The sequence below is a fragment of the Homo sapiens genome, chromosome 19 (assembly GCF_000001405.40).
Source record: "Homo sapiens chromosome 19, GRCh38.p14 Primary Assembly".
Classification (NCBI taxonomy): Eukaryota; Metazoa; Chordata; class Mammalia; order Primates; family Hominidae; genus Homo; species Homo sapiens.
Window position 1 is genome coordinate 32,389,412 of NC_000019.10, and position 18,085 is coordinate 32,407,496.

Here is an 18,085-nt window from a genome sequence, read left to right on the forward strand (position 1 = left end):
TGGGAGGCTGAGCCTGGAGGATTGCTTGAACCTGGGAAGCAGTGGTTGCAGTGAGCCAAGATCACACTACTGCATTCCAGCCTGGGCAACAGAGTGAAATTCCATCTCAAAAAAAAAATTTTTTTTGCACAAATCAGAAAATCATGAATCCTTAGCCATGAGCTCAGACCCAACTAGTTCACCTTTCTGATTTCTCAGCTTTGTACTTTGTTAAAAGGAAAAACAAAAAAGAATATTTATAATTACCCATGTTACTACCATGGATTCATCAGTAATAATCAAGTATGGTTTTAAAATGAGAAAGTATGTTATCTTAAATGTATACACAATGGAAAGCTGGACCTGAATAGACCCTCAACAAAATAAAACATTCATTTTTCAGGACTTTTATTAGCACCTACTAGTGACGTTTAAAGGCTTATTGTCACAACTGTGCACATCTCCAATTTTTTTTCTACTTGTCATCTTTAGTATCCATATTTCAGAAATAATGTGGCTGTGTTTTACTGAAATAGGCACATCAATCCACATCTTGTTCTTTTTGTTTATATCTGCAGTCCCATTTAAATTCAGTATTTCCAACCACAAACGGTGTTAGAAAATTCTATTTCCAGCTTATGAGAAAAAGTACAGCAGGATATGGTTCAAAGCTTAAGCTGTATTTATTTCTGCTCTTCCAGAGCTAGCATTCCACACAAAAAAAGTTATGCTGAAATAAACAGTGGTAGGAAACCAATGGTTTCAAGGCTATCTGCACTTTCTAAAACCCTTCTCCATGTGAAACCTGGGAACACAGTTGGTGCGGCTATGCCTCCCTGGAATGATGATACTGGAGTCCACCACAGTTCCATCGCAGAGGTGAAAAACTCTAACATGAGGCTCTTCAGCATTTGGGCCCACCTGGAGCAACCCTGTGCTCAGCCTGCAAATGCAGACAAAAACTTCAGTGTACTAACAGTTGTTTTTTAAAGTTCCAGGGTACATGTGCAGCATGTGCAGACTTGTTACATAGGTAAACATGTGCCATGGTGGTTTGCTGCACCTATCAACCCATCACCTAGGTATTAAGCCCTGCATGCATTAGCTATTTATCCTGATGCTCTCCCTCCTCCCACCCCACCCCACCACAGGCCCCAGTGTGTGATGTTCCCCTCCCTGTGTCTATGTGTCCTCACTGATCAGCTCCCACTTATAAGTGAGAACATGTGGTGTATGGTTTTCTGTTCCTGCGCTAGTTTGCTGAGGATAATGGCTTCCAGCTTCATCCATGTCCCTGCAAAGGACATAATCTTGTTCCTCTTTATGTCTGTATCGTATTCCATGGTGTATATGTACCACATTTTTTCAGTCTATCACTGATGGGCATTTGGATTTCATGTCTTTGCTATTGTGAATAGTTCTGCAATGAACATACACATGCATGTATCTTTGTGATAGAATGATTTATATTCCGTTGGGTATATACCCAGTAATGGGTACTACTGCATCAAATGGTATTTCTGGTTCTAGATCTTTGAGGAATTGCCGGGCGTGGTAGCATGCACCTCTAATCCCAGCTACTTGGAAGGCTGAGGCAGGAGAATCATTTGAACCCGGGAGGCGGAGGTTGCAGTGAGCCAAGCTTGCGCCACTACACTCCAGCCTGGGCAACAAGAGTGACACTCCATCTCAAAAAATAAAAAGTAAATAAAAATAAAAGTATACCTGCAAACCAGTCCAAATGCTAGTCAGGTGCCATCTTCAAGTCAGGTGCTATCTTCAAGTCAGGTGCCATCCTGCAGGCCCAAGGCATAGCTTACTAGTTCTATCGAGTGGCCTCGTGATCAGGTAGGAAAACCAAATCAGCACTTGTCTTTAACCATAATCCACGATGAAACTTACTCTTGAAAGATAAAGTGGAACAAGGCATGGCGCAGTGGCTCACACCTGTAATCCCAGCACTTTGGGAGGCCAAGGCGGGTGGATCATTTTAGGTCAGGAGTTTCAGACCAGTCTGGCTAACATGGTGAAACCCCATCCCTACTAAAAATACAAAAATTAGCCAGGCATGGTGGTGGGCACCTGTAATCCCAGCTACTCGGGAGGCTGAGGCAGGAGAATTGCTTAAACTCAGGAGGCAGAGGTTGCAGTCAGCCGAGATTGCACCGCTGCACTCCAACCTGGGCAACAGAGTGCGTGAGATTCTGTCTCAACAAAAAAGATAAAGTGGAACAAGAGCTTCATAGCCATATTCCTAACTAGGTTATACCTTACAAAACTAACAAGAATACATATGGACATGAGATACAAAGGGCATGATCGCTAATTAAAACCCTAAAACAGTAACACCTATCTACTGTAAACAGACAAGTCAGCTGCACCTATACATTGTATTAAATACCGTAAGAGTTTTTGAAATTCAAGAAGACATCAGGCCAAGTACAGTGGCTCACTGTAATCCCAGCATTTTGGGAGGCAAAGGCAGGAGGATCGCTTGAGGCCTGGCGTTCCATACCAGCCTGGGCAACATGGTGAAACCCCATCTCTACAAAAATAAAAATTAAAAAATTAGCCTGGTGTAGTCCCAGTTACTCGGGAGGCTGAGGTGGGAGGATCGTTTGAGCCTGTAGTGAACTGTGATTGCACCACTACACACCACCCTGGTTGATAGAGCAACATGAAAGAAAAGAAAGAGAAAGAGAAAAAAAAAAAGGAAAGGAAGGAGGGAGGAAGGGAGGCAGGGAGGAAAGAAGGGGGAGGGAGAGGAAGGAAGGAAGGAAGAAAGGAAGGCAGGCAGGCAGGCAGACGAGGGGAGGGGAGGGCAGGGGAGGGGAGGGGAAGGGAAAGAAAGAAGGAAAAAGAAAGAAGAAAGAAAAGAAAAAGAAAAAAGAGAGGGAAAGGGAGGGAGGGAGGAAGAAAGGAAAAGAAGAGTGAGAAGAAAGAAAAGGAAGAAAGGGAAGGAAGGAGGAAGGGGAGGAAGGGGAGGGAGGAAGGAAAGGAAGGAAGGGAAAGGGGGAGGGAGAGAGGGAGGGAGGAAGGAAGGAAGGAAGGGAGGGACTAATGGTGTGCCTGACGCCATACACATCAACCTTAACCTTCAAAAGAATGTACTTTTCACATGAGTAATGGCAGGTACTGCCAGTTGTTCCTCAACATCCATTCTTCTATGATCACAGAATTTTTAGCTGGGCACAAAGCTGCCCAGGTAGGCTGTATTTCCCAGGCTTCCTTGTAGCTACATGAAGCCATGTGACCAAGTTATGGTTCATGGGATATGAGTAGTGATACATGAAACTTCTGAAGATATCACGCCAGGCACAGTGTCTCATGCCTGTAATCGCAGTACTTTGGGAGGCCAAGGAGGGAGAATCACTTGAGGCCAGGAGTTCAAGACCAGCCTGGGCAACATGGTGAAACCCCATCTCTACAGAAAAATACAAACATTAGCCGGGTGTGGTGACACACGCCTGTAGTCCTGTTACAGTAGGCAAACAGCTAGACATGAGCAGGAGGGGGAGCCCCTGAGAAAAGGAAGGTCTGGGAAGCCTCATGCCCAAGGACCACCCAAAATTTGCTAATTATTAACATCTCTAATGGTGGAGGGGGTGGGCAATGAGTCCAGTGTGAGCAAGGAGGAGGGTAAATACCTATGCAGAAAGGAGCACCCCTTAAGACTCCTAGTAATCACCCACTCTTCAGTTAACCTCTCAGAATGTCACTAGCTGTGTGCTGATAAGGAGGGAAAGAGGGCAAAGCAGAAATTCCTAAGAGATACCAGGTGCAATAAATATAGATCTGACCTCTATACAACCTCCTGGGGTGGCGGCAATGAGCAATGCAGCCATTTGGTAGAGTTCATACCCAACACCGGCCACACATACCCACCAACTAGTAGTAAGAGAGGGTCCCGTGAGCCTGGGAGGGAATGCGGCAGGGATAAAGGCAGGGACTTAAGGCAGAAGCAGGGAAACTAGACAAAGAAAAAAGGCAGGGACTTAAGACAGAGGTGGGAACTTCCAGAAAAAAATCTGACATCATTAAAACCCACCGCAGAATTCTCGGGGTGGCTGCTGGCTCATTCTGTCTCCACAGCTGGCTCTGCCTCATCTTTCAGAGTATTCTGTCTCTCTAAATAAACTCTCTGCTCTCTATTTTCCTTCAATCAATTCTCTCTTTTTTGGCTAAACTGCCTCGTGGCCAAATTCCTTCTCCCAAGGAAGACTAAGAGCTGAGGACTCTGCCCTTCCAGGTAACACCCCCAACTACTCAGGAGGCTGAGGTGGGAAGATTGCTTGAGCCCAGAAGGTCAAGGCTACAATGAGCTGTAATTGCACCACTGCACTCCAGCCTGGGCAACAGAGTGAGATACTATCTCTAAAAATAAAAATAAAAAATATTTTTCTAAAAAAGAGATTAAATGAATCTAGGATCACAGAGTTCAAAGTTGGCTGAGAAAATATACCAGTTGTCCTTGAAACATTCACTGTATTTGATGGCTATCTTTTCTCTAAACATATTGTAATGCAAATATAAAATTGTTTTGTTTTATAAAACAATAGAATACATCAGCTGAAGTTACCCCCAAAAGAAATGAAAGAAACTTCTGGGTGTGCCCTCAAAATTAAGGGGAGTTCCACCTCCCCTTCTTTCTCTGTTCTGCCACCTGTTATGTAAATGTTATGATCACTGACTATGAGAACAAGCACAGGACAGAACTCCTAAAACTCAACAACAAAACCCAATTCAAAAACGGGCAAAGGACTTGACTAGACATTTCTCTAAAGAAGATCTACAGATGGCCAACAAGTACATGGAAAGATGCTCAACATCACTAATCATTAAGGAAATGGAAATCAAAACTGCAATGAGATACCACCTCATACCCATTAGGGTGACTACTATCAAAACATAAAAAAGCAGAAAATAATAAAGTGTTGGTAAAGATGTGGAGACACTGGTACCCTTGTGCACCATTGGTGAGAATGTAAAATGGTACAATCACTGTGGAAACAGTATGGTGGTCTAATGGGCACAGAGTTTCAGTCTTAGAAGATGAAGAGTTTTGGAGGTATATGCTGGTGATGGTTGCACAACATTATGAATGTAATACCACTGAACTGGACATTTATAAATAGTTAAGATCAGGCAGGCGCAGTGGCAATCCCATCACTTTGGGAGGCCAAGGCGGGCAGATCACTTGAGGTCAGGAGTTTGAGACCAGCCTGGCCAACATGGTGAAACCCCATCACTACTAAAAATACAAAAATTAGCCAGATGTGGTGGCGGGCGCCTGTAATCTCAGACACTTGGGAGGCTGAGGCACAAGAATCGCTTGAACCCAGGAGATGGAGGCTTCAGTGAGCCGAGATCACAGCCTGGGCAACAGAGCAAGACCTTGTCTCAAAAAAAAAAAAAAAAAAGGTTAAGAAGGTAAATTTTATGTTTTTTTGCCACAAAAGAAAAATTTTTTAAAAAACAACTGTGACATTTTTGTTGGAAGGACCCTGGGTCCCTGACATTGTGGAACCAGACTGCTTACATGACAGAAATAAACATCATTTCAGCCACTGTCTTTTGGGTCAGTACTGAACCCTCAGCTCTTATTTCCAGTCTGCCCCACCATTTACATATAGAGAAATACATTAAAGGGAAAAGTAAACCACCAGGATTCTGCAAGGATCCAACCACCAAACCCTAGTCTACATCGGTGTTTCCACCTTTATTTCATTACCATCCTCCTAAGCCCTTCAAGGCATTTTTCCCAATTAATTTCCCCACCCATGACACAGAAGTACTGTATTGTTTATCTTTCTAGGTACTGTAAGTGTATCTATGCTTTTTCCTTTTTTCTTTATTTTGGGACGGAGTCTTGCTCTGTCACCCAGGCTGGAGTGCAGTGGCGTGACATTGGCTCACCACAACCTCCGCCTCCAGGTTTAAGCAACTCTCTTGCCTCAGCCTCCTGAGTAGCTGCATCTACAGGCACGTGCCACCACACCTGGATAATTTTTGCATTTTTAGTAGAGACGGGGTTTTGCCATGTTGACCAGGGTGGTCTCTAACTCCTGACCACAGGTGATCTGCCCACCTCGGCCTCCCAAAATGCTGGATTACAGGCATGAGACACAGCGCCAAGTCTGTACATCTATGCTTTATACATAAAAATAGTAATTTTTTTCAACCCCCAGGGACCAGTTTTTTCCCACTGGGGGGTCATATTGCCATAGGGAATTCACCCTTGTATTTAAATGAACTGGTTTAATGAAGATAGTTACAGGAAAAGCTATTTATTTCAAACCTCATTTCCTGGTATCTTGACTGAACATCCAAAAGGGTCAAGAGATTGTGATGAGAAACCTGTGAGAGGAGGCTGGATTTGTTACCTCTATCACGTGGAGAATCACTAAAGTACAACAAAATCAACTCAGTACAGCTAGACTCCATCTAGCTGTTGGGATAGTTTCCATCTCAGAGCTTTTGGACCTGGACAGTTGCAATCAAACCTGTGGACTTTATGCATAAGGAGTCCTTTGGGTTAGCTCATCTCTGTCCACCAGTTGACTCAGGAAGGTTTGTGGGGAGCACTTGATAAGTGTTAGTGAAAATCCAGCCCTGCACTAGATTAGCCATAATTTAAGGCATGATAAAATGTCTGAATTCGAGAGTGTTAGAAACACATCCTTTTCTGGCTGAAAGTCCTGCTTACAACAGGGAAAAAAAAAAAAAAAAAAAAGTCCCAGGCCTGACAATATGCCTTGGCATCTATTAGTGGGAAAAATCTGCTGCTGAGATTTGTGGACACATGTGTACATGCCTGTTTTGCAGGAAATGACATTACAGCAGTCCAAGGAAACAAACCAGAAGGACCAGCCAAGGACACTGATTCTCGGACTAACATCTAGAGAATCAGCACATGTGGCAAAAGCTTATGCAATAAAACATCATCATCTGCTTTAACTGAATACCTTACCTATTCGTGTCCTCATTCAAAAATACACAACAGTTATTCTAACCATGGAAATGGAAAAAAGTGTAGGTGGTAACCATGGAAATGAAGAAAGTACAGACAAGTAGAGGTAAGCAGAGAAGCAGGTGTTAAAGAAGAAAATGAGGCCAGACACAGTGACTCACCCCTGTGATACCAGCGCTGGGGGATGCCAAGGCAGGAGGATTGCTTGAGGCCAGAAGTTTGAGACCAACCTGGGCGACATACTGAAACCCCACCTCTACTAAAAATTAACCGGGTGCAGGGGCTCACACCTGTAATATCAACAATTTGGGAGGCCAAAGTACGTGGATCACCTGTGGTCAGGAGTTTGAGACTAGACTGACCAACATGGTGAAACCCTGTCTCTAATAAAAACACAGAAAAGTTAGTGAGGCGTGGTGGTGCATGCCTGTAATCCCAGCTACTTGGGAGGCTGAGGCAGGAGAATCACTTGAACTCAGGAGATGGAGGTTGCAGTGAGCTGAGATCGCATCATTGCACTCGGTCTGATGACAAGAGTGCAATGGATGACAAGAGAGAAACTCTGTCTCAAAAATAGTAACAATAATAATTTAAAAGAAAATGAAACAAAAATTCCATATGTAAATACTTTGTGAACTTTACATTTTATAGAATCCTTGGATTTGTGCACCTACGCTAATCTGTCTAAAAATTTCACTATTTTAAAGCACTACAAATCTAGTTAATATAAAGTTGAACAAAGGAAGAGAAAAAACACAAACAATATTTCATAATGCTTTTTCTGAATGTTCCCGGACCAAATCGAGGGTCAGGCTGCTTATTCTCACAGCCCAATAATGAGACGCAGATGAACTGGGAAAGGAGGGAGTTTATTTCTGTAACTGGATACAGGGAGAAGGCCTAGAAATTATCCCCAGACCAACTCAAAATCACAGTGTTCCAGAGCTTATATACCTTCTAAGCTATATGTCTGTGTGTAAGTGTGCATTCATCTACAGACATAAGTGGTCGACTTTTTCTGATCTCTAACTAAGATCTGAGTCCTGAAGACCTTCCCCTGGAGCCTCAGTAAATTTATTTAATCTAAATGGGTCCAGGTGCTGGGGTGATTACCCTTATCTTGTTTCCTGCTAAATCATGGTTTGGGGAGTTCCTTCAGACCCCAATAAACTTGCCTGTGGAGGCCTGGGGAGTTTCTTCAGACCCCCAATAAAACCTGTATAATCCCAAACGGGTCCTGTGGAAAATTCCTCATTATCTTGTCATGCTTCAAGGCCCAGGAAAGGCCAGGGCAGAACTCTTGGTGGGCTTTTGTTACATTCCAGCATTTGTATAGGGCACTGGCTCTATCAGCTTTTAATATTTAACTTCGCCACTCAGTCAGTACTGAAACGGTTGTCATGGAGGCCTGCATTAGTGAGACCTGGCCTGCCACATGAAGACTCACAGAGGAGAAGCCATCTATTGACAAACATTTTAAAGGAGGGAAAGAGGAATCCAATGTGATGTCAGTGACTGTGGGACTCTGGAATGATGCGAGCATAGAGGAAGCTCATCCCTGACACTTGGCCTGGGTTCCCTAAGACCCACGCATGCCAAGCCAATCTCAGAGGACTGCCATAGACAGGCCCCACCTCTGTGGTCTCTGACATGAGTCATACACAGTGTGTGTAAAACAATCCAATGGAATGTATGCAGAAAACACTAGGATTTCCACGTGTAGTCACTTTGCTTAAAAATATGTTTATATGGGCTGGGTGTGGTGCCTCATGCCTGTAATCCCAACATTTTGGTAGGCCAAGGCTGGAGGATCACTTGAGCTCAAAAGTTCAAGACTAGCCTAGGCAACATGGTGAGACCTTGCCTCATTTAAAAAAAAAAATGTTTATATGTATACAGAAAGAGAAGACAAAATTTTTTTCTGATAAAAGTTTGGAGGCTGGGCGCACTGGCTCACGTCTGTAATCCCAGCACTTTGGGGAGACCAAGGCAGGCAGATCACTTGAAGCTAGGAGCTCAAGACCAGCCTGGCCAACATGGTGAAGCCCCATCTCTACTGGAAGTACAAAAATTAGTCAGGTGTGGTGGTACACGCCTGTAGTCCCAGCTACTCAGGAGGCTGAGGCATGAGAATCGCTAGAACCCAGGAGGTCAAGGCTGCAGAGAGCCAAGATCGCGCCACTGCACTCCAGTTTGGGAAACAGAGTGAAATCCTGTCTCAATAAATAAATAAATAAATAAATAAATAAATAAATAAATAAATAAAAGAAGTTTGGCGACCATTGCATTGACTTTTACCAAGATACTTGAAAAGTCAACTAAATTGGATGAAAGTACTGTTGGAAAAAAATATATGTAGTATACCAAACTGCCCCATACATGTTTCTGTAAGGGAATACTCAGCATTGTAAATATCTCATTTCTCCCAAACATTTCTAAACACTTTATATAATTCTAGTAAAAATTTCCATGGATTCTGTTTTAGAACTTAGTAAATGATTATAAAGTTTATCTGAGCAAATAAATATGCAGAAATTGCCAAAATATGTGGTTAAAAGAAGTGTAATGAAGGGTCAATTGCCCTCTCAATATGAAAACATTCTATAAAATAATTAAAAACATGTAGAACTGTTTCAAGACTAATTACTTTTTAAAATCATTTAAACATAAGTGTCATCTTATAATACAAAAATTAGCCAGGCGTGGTGGCTATAGTCCCACCTATAGTCCCAGCTACTTGGGAGGCGGAGGTGGGAGAACTGCTTGAGCTCAGGAAGTGGAAGTTGCAGTGAGCCGAGATCATGCCACTGCACTCCAGCCTGGGCCACAGGGCAAGACCCTGTCTCCAGAAAAAAAAAAAAAAAAAAAGAGTGAGCTTATAAATAAGCCATATACATATGGGAATTCAGTATGTGGTACAGGTAATTTAAATCAGTAGAGTAAGGATGATGGTGAAATAATCAACTATCTAATTTAAAAAAAAATTGTCAAGTCTCTCCCACACCATATTAAAAAGTTATAATATTTTTAAATACTAGCAGAAAGAATTAAAAAACATTTACAATCTTGAGATGGGGAAGGTTTTTCTAAGCATGATGGAAAAACCCAGAAGGTATAAAAGAAATTTGACAATATAAAAATGGAAAATCCCTGCATAGCAAAAGACATCATACCAGATACACAATAATGAGAAACTATCTGCAGCATATATGACAACAGATTAATAAATACCCATAATCGGCCAGGCGCAGTGGCTCACACCTGTAATCCCAGCACTTTGGGAGGCCGAGGTGGGCAGATTCCTTGAGCTCAGGGGTTCAAGACTAGCCTGGGCAACATGGCAAAACCCCATCTCTACAAAAAATTGTTTTAAATTAGCCAGGCACACACCTGTGGTCCCAGCTACTCAGGAGGTTGAGATGGGAGGATTTCGTGAGCTCAGAAGGTTGAATCTGCAGTCAGCTGAGATGGCGCCACTGCACTCCAGTCTGGGCAACAGAGCAAGACCCTGTCTCGAAAACAAAAACAAAAAAAACTCATAATCTATAAATAATCCCGTCACAGCAAGATTAAATAGATGGTGAAAGAACACAAAAAGACAAATTATACAAAAGAAATGCAAATAGCCAATAAACTCCTGATATATTGTCTTCACCTCATTAATAAAGAATGCACACTAATCATGTATTATTTGTCACCTAAGATTGGCAAAGATTTAAAAACTAATTGTTGGCAATGGCATGGAGAAATAAGTGTCATAATACCCACTGGTGGAAGAGAAAAACAATAGAATCTTTAACCTTTTTGGAATGTAGTTTACCAATGTTTATCACAATTTAGAATATGAGTTCTAGGGCTGGGCATGGTGGCTCACAACTGTAATCCCAGCACTTTGGGAGGCCGAGGCGGGTGGATCACTTGAGGTCAGGAGTTCAAGACCAGCCTAGCCAACATGGTGAAATCCCATCTCTACTAAAAAGACAAAAATTAGCCCGGCATGATGGCGGGTGCCTGTAATCCAAGCTTCTCAGGAGGCTGAGGCAGGAGAATCGCTTGAACCTGGGAGGCAGAGGTTGCAGTGAGACAAGATTGCGCCACTGCACTCTAGCTTGGGCGACAGAGTGAGACTCTGTCTCAAAAAAAAAAAAAAGAATATGAATTCCAACAACCCTGTTTCCAGAAATACATCCTAAAGAGTTACATAAATATAAGTATGTTCTTACAGCATTCCCTGAAATAGCATAAAACTAGAAACAACCTAGATGTCCAACTAGATGGGAATAAATAAATCGTAACACATACATACGGTGGATATTGTATTGGTTATCTATCATTGTACAAAATTACCCCCAAAACTTAGTGGCTTAAAAAAACAATGTACATTTATTATCCTCATAGTCTCTGTGTGTCAAATACTTGGGAGTGGCATAGATGGGCACTTCTGGCCCAAGATCTCTTATGCCGCCATCTGAAGGCTGACCTGTAGCTGGCCGATCTATTAGGTTGGTGCAAAAGTAATCTTGGTTTTTGCCATTACTTTTAATGTCCCACCAACCTAATACTTCCAAGATGGCTCACTCCCATGGCTGCCAAGGTGGTGCAGGCTGTTGCCTACGTGGCCTTCTCTACAGGCAGTTTGAGTGTCCTCACTACATGGTGGCTGGCATCCCCGCTAAGTGAGCAATCCAAGAGAGGCTAAGGCTGAAACTGGGATGTCTTTTATGACTTAGCCTCAGAAGTCCCACACTGTCACTTCCACGGTATTCTGTTGTTCACAAAGAAAAACCATGATTCTGTGGAACCGGATACTGTATGAGGATAAACATGAGGCAGCACAGATCGTGTAAGCTGAGGTCTAAAGGCTGAAGAGTACCTAGTCAATTAAAGAGGGTTTAAGACTTTTTATAAGCCACGTGACAAACCTCTGACAGAGGTTTATGTGAATAGAAAGTGAAGGAGAGGTTGAAGAGGGAAACAGAGCCTGATTCGTGGCAGTCCTTACAAGCTGTGTCATGGAGCTTAATTTTTATAATAAAGCCAAAACGCCTCCAAGGGATTTATATTTTAGTAAGATCACTATGGTTATTACATACAGGTAAATGGACTACGGTGGTGGCAACAGAGATGAGCAAAGTGAACAAGATCTGAGGTATTTACGAGATAAATGCCAACAGGACTCAATGGATGATTGGATGTGTGGATTACACAATAGAGAGGAATCAAGGATGGCTTCTAGGCTCTTGATTTGAGCAATAAGGTAAATGGAGCACACAGAAGGAACCGCAAGTGTGGGGATTAGAAAAAGGTTTAACATGTTGAGTTTGAGGTGTTTACACACATGGAAATGTCCAATAGGCAGTGGACATATGGCACCTGGAGACCAGGAGATACACCTGGACATAAAAACAGGAGTTATCAGAGTATCAGTGGAAATCAGATCCACGGGCCACAGAATCATTGATTTTTAAGAGGAAGAGGAGGCCAGGCATGGTGGCTCATGCCTGTAATCCCAACAATTTGGAAGGCTGAGGCAAGAGGATCGCTGCAGCCCAGGAGTTTGAGACCAGCCTGGGCAACAGAGAGACCCCCTGCCACCCCCAATCTTTACAAAAAAATTTTTAAAAAATTAGTCAGGCATGGTGGTGCATGCCTGTAACCTAGCTATTCTGGAAGATGAGATGGGAGGATTGCTTGAGCCTTTGAGAGCAAGGCTGCACTGAGCCATGATTCAGCCACTGCACTCTAGGCTGGATGACACAGTAAGTCCTCTTTCCAAAAAGGGAGAAGGGAGGAGAAGAAGAAAGAAGAGAGGAGGAGGAGGAAGAACAGGAGGAAGAGGAAGAAGAAGGAAGAGGAAGAAAGAAGAAAAGAAGAAAGAAGAGAAAGAGAAGGGAGGAGGGAGGAGGAGTAGCTGCATGAAACTTAAAAGGAATGCCTGAAAGGTAGACAGAGGAAACACGCACAGTCTGTTGTCACAGAAGGCAGGAATGATGGAGAGTGTTTATACTAAGTCAAACAATTGAAAAATGAACACTGGGCTGGGCGCAGTGGAGGACACCTGTAATCCCAGCACTTTGGGAGGCCAAGGCAGGTGGATGACTTGAGATCAGAAGTTTGAGACCAGCCTGGCCAACATGGTGAAGCTCTGTCTCTACTAAACATACAAAAATTAACCGGGCGTGGTGGCCAGCACGTGATGCCAGCTACTCAGGAGGCTGAGACAGGAGAATCGTTTCAATCCGGGAGACGGAGGTTGCAGTGAGCCGAAATCACCCCACTGCACACCAGCCTGGGTGACAAAGTTAGACTCTACCTCAAAAAGTTAAAATAAATAAAATTTTTAAAATGGACATCATGTATCAGACAGGAAAAAGCCAGTAAGACGGAAGAACTCACACCCTCGGGATCCCAAGACAAGATACTTCCATGGGATGGATGTAATGAACAGTGTTAAAAGATTTCTGGTGCAGTGCTTCTCAAAGTGTGATGTACACATAAATGACCTGGGGGTCATATTAAAATGCAGATTTTGGCTACACAGGTCTTGGGTAGGACCTGAGACCTGGCTTTTCTCAGAAGACCCCAGGTGATGCCCATGCTGCACAGCCCACAGACCACATGTTGAGTAACAAGGTTCTGCTGTGGTTCCCAAACTTTTCCGAGCACAGAATTATCTGGAAAACTTCTGTACTAGTCCATACAGCTATACATACTGCTATAAAGGATACTGCTACAAAGAATGCCCAAGACTGGGTAATTTATAAAGGAAAGAAGTTTAATTGACTCACAGTTCAGCATGGCTGGGGAAGCCTCAGAAAACTTACAAACATGGCAGAAGGCAAAGGGGGAAGCAAGGCACTTTCCTCACAAGGAGGCAGGAAGAAGTGCTGAGCGAAGAGGCAAGATCCCCTTATAAAACCATCACATCTTGTGAGAACTCACTATCATGAGAACAGCATGGGGGAAGCTGCCTCCATAATTCAATTACCTCCACCTGGTCTCTCCCTTGAAAGGTGGGGATTATGGGAATTACAATTCAAGATGAGATTTGGGTGTGGACATAAAGCCTAACCATATCAACTTCTTAAAGATTAGTGGTCCCCTAGCCCTACAGATTCTAAATTGAGTAGGCGTGGGGTAGGGCCTGATAACATGCATTTCTTAACAACCTCCCAAGTGATGGTGACAGTGACGCTGCAGATCCCCAGACCACACTTTTGAGATGCACAGCACAACTATTTGTGGCCCTGGCAGAGACAACCAGGGAGACTATTTAGGCTTCTAAACCTACTGCAAACCGGAAGTCTTGCTATATACCACCACTGCAGTCACAGTCCATTACAGGAGCCCATTCCTTTTATAGTACCTCCCTGGCTCCGGGCTCATATGGCCAGAAGTGTGAGCAAGGACCTACACTCATTATCCATCACCTCCATGGTTACTTTATCAGAACCAAAGACTCATTCTTAATTGGCTTATTCTCCCCAAGACTTACTCTCAGCAGTAGGTCCTACTTAGGAAAAGTCTCAAAGCTTCATCTTGCTTAGGAATGTCTTTTCATAGTATTAAAAAAAGCAGCTACTGCTGAATTCTACTTTCTTTTTAACTAAGCGATGATATTTCACAATGGTCACATTTCCCCCAGAGTGAAACAACTTGAGAGAAAAAAAAAAACCTATAAAATAAGAGGGAAATCCTATTTAAGGGGAACTCAATTCACCTATGTATTCATGAAACAGACACATGCACATAAAGGCATCTTAACGTGAAAAATAAACATACAGTCCTTGCCCTCAAGCCAGGCGACAGAAAAGCTACCAACAACCAGGCTGAAACAAGACAAATGCCATCTGAAAAAACAGCTGACATTTGTTTCTATCAAAGCCATCCAGCAGATACCTCAACATCTTTCCACAGAACGTGTGCTCTTTACTAACAACCGACACACAAAGGAGGACGATCTCCAACAGAGGTGACTAGGAAAGGCTTCCTGGATGGCGTAATTTAGTGTTGGAGTCAGACCAATGAGCCGCCTTTTCACGGGTGGAGGTCCCAGATGGCCATCCCTTTAACAAAAATCAATTAACATGTAAATTATGTACTGACAAATACAACGTTTGATGGGCCCGCTGCAGTGGCTAAAGCCTGTAATCCCAACATTTTGAGAAGCTGAGGCAGGAGGCCTGCTTGAACTCAGGAGTTTTAGACCAGACTGGTCAACACAACGAGACCCCATCACTATAAAAATTAAAATGAATCTCAGCTACTCAGGAGGCTGAGGAAGCAGGGTCACTTGGGCACAGGGGACTAAGGTTGCAGTGAGCTACGATCACACCACTGCACTCCAGCCTGGACGACAAAGCAAGACCCCCATCTCTACGAAAAATTTAAAAATTAGCTGGGCATAGTAGTGCGAGCCTGTGGTCCCAGCTACTCCGGAGGCTGAGGCGGGAGGATCGCTTGCGCCCAGGAGGCCGAGGTTGCAGTGAGCCGTGATAGCACCACTGCACTCCAGCCTGGGCGACAGACTGAGAGCCTCACCTGTAAAAAATAATTTTAAAAAAGGTTCCACCTAGTGTTTTCCGTGGTGTGACTAAGAAAAGTATCTAGAAATAAAGCACAGTCAGTACCTGCTCTCAAAAAACGGCTGCCAATCTAGTTTGGAGACAGAAAAATATACCCGACTGAGAACACAGAGGAGCCTGTTTTCGGAAGAGGGGCGTCTTTGGAGACGCAAAATCCTCTCCGCGGGACGCTGACGGGCAGTCGGTAAAGGACTTCCAAGCACTGGTCAGTGACAATCGGGCGCTGGGGCTTTGCCAAGGCCCGGAGGCGGCGCGCCAAACCGGGCAATGCGGGAAGCGGGGCAGGCCCGAGTGGCCCTACTGCTGCCGTCCCTACTGATCCCTGCGCATCCGCCACAGAGCAGGGAACGGCAGAAAGGAGGAAGGAGGGGGAGTTCCGTAAATCAGGCCCTCAGGGGCTCCCAGGCCCGCACCCCTCTCAAGCCCCGGGGACCACCGCGGAGCCGCTGCTCCGGGCCGTGCGGCTCGAGGCGAACCTGCCTCAGAGCCGCCGGGCCCTCCTATCCCGAGCCGTATCTCTAGCTCCGGCCTGAGGTGGCCGGCGACTGCGTGCGCAAACACAAGATCCGCACCCCACTCCCCGCCACTGCAGCTCCGCGGCCGCGCTCAGAGTCTCCGGAACAGACCGGACTCAATGCGGACCAGGCAAGCGGAAGTGTGCCGCTTCCTTCCGGCCAGCGCAGCACGAGACGAGGCGGGGAACCGCGGGAGGAGGCGGGGCCTAGTGTTGACGAACAGCTCCCGGGGCCTATGGGCGCGGGGGCAGCCGCCCGGCCTCTCCGGCGCGCCCCCTCCCCGGGGCTGTTGACGCCCCCCAGCCCCTCATTTCCACAAAGCTCCGCGGCGGTTCTGCCCTCCTTGTACCCGCGGCGCGCTGCGGCCCGTGGCGCGGCCCCGTTCCCGCCTAGCCCCGTCGGCCTCCTTCCCCTCCCGGAGCCGCGCGTGAGGACGGCTGAGGCCGCAGGTCTGTGGCGGCGCGCCGGGACGCGCGGGCGAGGGTCTACCGAGAGGGCGGGCGGGCGCCGGCGGAACCCTCGGCTACAGCCCCGAGCCCCTGGGGCCGCCCCTCCCCGCCGCGTGGCGCAGTCGGGGGGCGCGGCCGCGGCGTCGGGGCGTCGGGAGGGGCGGAGCGCGGGAGTGTCTGCCGGGACGCGGGCCGGGCTGGGCTCCGGAAGGACCAAGTTTGCGGAGCGGCTTCTGCTCGTCGGCCGTGCGGCGAGGCAGGGCCTGGGCTGCGACCCCGGCGGCCGCTCGCGGTCTTGGGAGAGCTGGGGCGCGTGCCTGAACTTCCCGGCTGCCCCTGTCCTTGGAGACCTACCTGATGGGGACGCCAGGTGTGCAGGGGCGTGGCGCGTAGGTAAGCGGACCCGGTGCCTGCCTCGTCCAGGGGATGCTCACTAGAGCGCTAGGCTTTTTTATTTTTATTTTTTAGAGACAGGGGTCTCGCTGTCTCGCCCAGGCTGGAGTGCAGTGGCGTTATCACGGCTCACTGCAACCTCGAACTCTTGGGCTCAAGCGATTCTCCCACCTCAGCCTCTGGAGTAGCTGGGACCACAGGCATGCACCACCGAGCCTGGCTATTTTATTGTATAGATAGGGTCTCGCTCTGTTCCCCAGGCTGGTCTCAAACTCATGGTCTGAAGTCATCCTCCTGCCTCAACCTCCCAAAGCGCTGGGATTACATGAGCCGCCTCGCCCGGCTAGCGCTAGTCGTCCTTATTAATAAAGAATCGCTTCTGGTCCCTTTTCAGTTGTTTACAATGGCATTCCTTTTGATCTGATGGAGGAACTTTTTTTCTTAGTTCATGGGACTGTTGCAGTGCCTGACACATAATTGGTACTTAAATATGTGTTGGTTTTCTGCCTTAACATATTAGAATATATGAATTGTTTAAAAAAGTCCTCTCACACTTAGGGAGGACTCTAGGATGAGGTCACATGGGGGATAAGCCCATCTGTGGCTGTAGGACTTTGTTAAACACTCCTCTTCTCCCTCTCTGTTCCAGATTCTCCATTTCCAGTGCTTGAAAGCACAGTACTTAAATCTGGCTTCCTGCTTTTTTTTTTTTTTTTGGTATGAATGAATACATGAATTGTATAATGTTAGTTGGTTTGTTCTGTAGAGCAAGTTACCCTTAGGAATTAATAAACTGTGGAAACAATCATGTCAGGCTACTAGTCACATTTAAGAAATAATTAGTAAGAGGCTGTTCATTATTCAGAGGAGTGAAGCAAGATGTTCTGGAGGACTGGAACCCGCTTACTCACTGCCACCACTCCCCCGCCTCCCACTTGCTGCTGCCAAACCAGGCTCCTGCTCCCCCCCACCCATTACTCCCACCGACGCTCCCTGGGATAGCAGCTGCCCTGATTGGCACACCCCCGCAGTCATCACCACTGAGGCGTATTCCTGAAGCTGCCAGTGTGAATTGTTTTATAGAACACTGGTGTTAAAATTCAGGTACCTGAGACAAAACAATATTTTAATTCTTCAAAATCCGGTTGTCAACACATTTACTATGGAGTATCTCCCACGTGGCCACTTCTGTGG

General features: G+C 45.6%; 1 protein-coding gene and 1 long non-coding RNA gene across 14 annotated transcripts in view, besides 2 other annotated features; one reads left to right on the top strand and one right to left on the bottom strand.

Annotated features, from left to right (window-relative positions):
• Nucleotides 1-638: 638 nt before the first annotated feature.
• DPY19L3-DT (DPY19L3 divergent transcript) lies at nucleotides 639-16,128 on the bottom strand. The gene is made up of 3 exons (NR_046201.1): nucleotides 15,580-16,128; nucleotides 10,340-10,457; nucleotides 639-922 (listed from the first exon to the last, which is right to left on the bottom strand). It is a non-coding gene; the product is annotated as a DPY19L3 divergent transcript (long non-coding RNA).
• Nucleotides 15,911-15,960: a silencer, noted in NCBI's record as "silent region_10480". NCBI's record gives its function as "represses an Ori minimal core promoter by ATAC-STARR-seq in GM12878 lymphoblastoid cells {active_cell/tissue: GM12878}" and the evidence as "EXISTENCE:reporter gene assay evidence [ECO:0000049][PMID:35858748]".
• Nucleotides 15,991-16,740: a silencer, noted in NCBI's record as "silent region_10481". NCBI's record gives its function as "represses an Ori minimal core promoter by ATAC-STARR-seq in GM12878 lymphoblastoid cells {active_cell/tissue: GM12878}" and the evidence as "EXISTENCE:reporter gene assay evidence [ECO:0000049][PMID:35858748]".
• Nucleotides 16,359-18,085, top strand: part of DPY19L3 (dpy-19 like C-mannosyltransferase 3) — an 80,121-nt gene continuing 78,394 nt past the window's right edge. For 7 of the 13 annotated variants that reach the window (XR_007066627.1, XR_007066628.1, NM_001172774.2 and 4 more), the window contains exon 1: nucleotides 16,359-16,498. The gene's annotated coding sequence lies outside the window, so the exon portion shown is untranslated. Of the gene's footprint in view, nucleotides 16,499-16,713; nucleotides 16,892-18,085 lie in introns of those variants that run through there. The other 6 variants (NM_207325.3, XM_017026366.1, XM_047438251.1 and 3 more) reach the window with 2 other exon arrangements.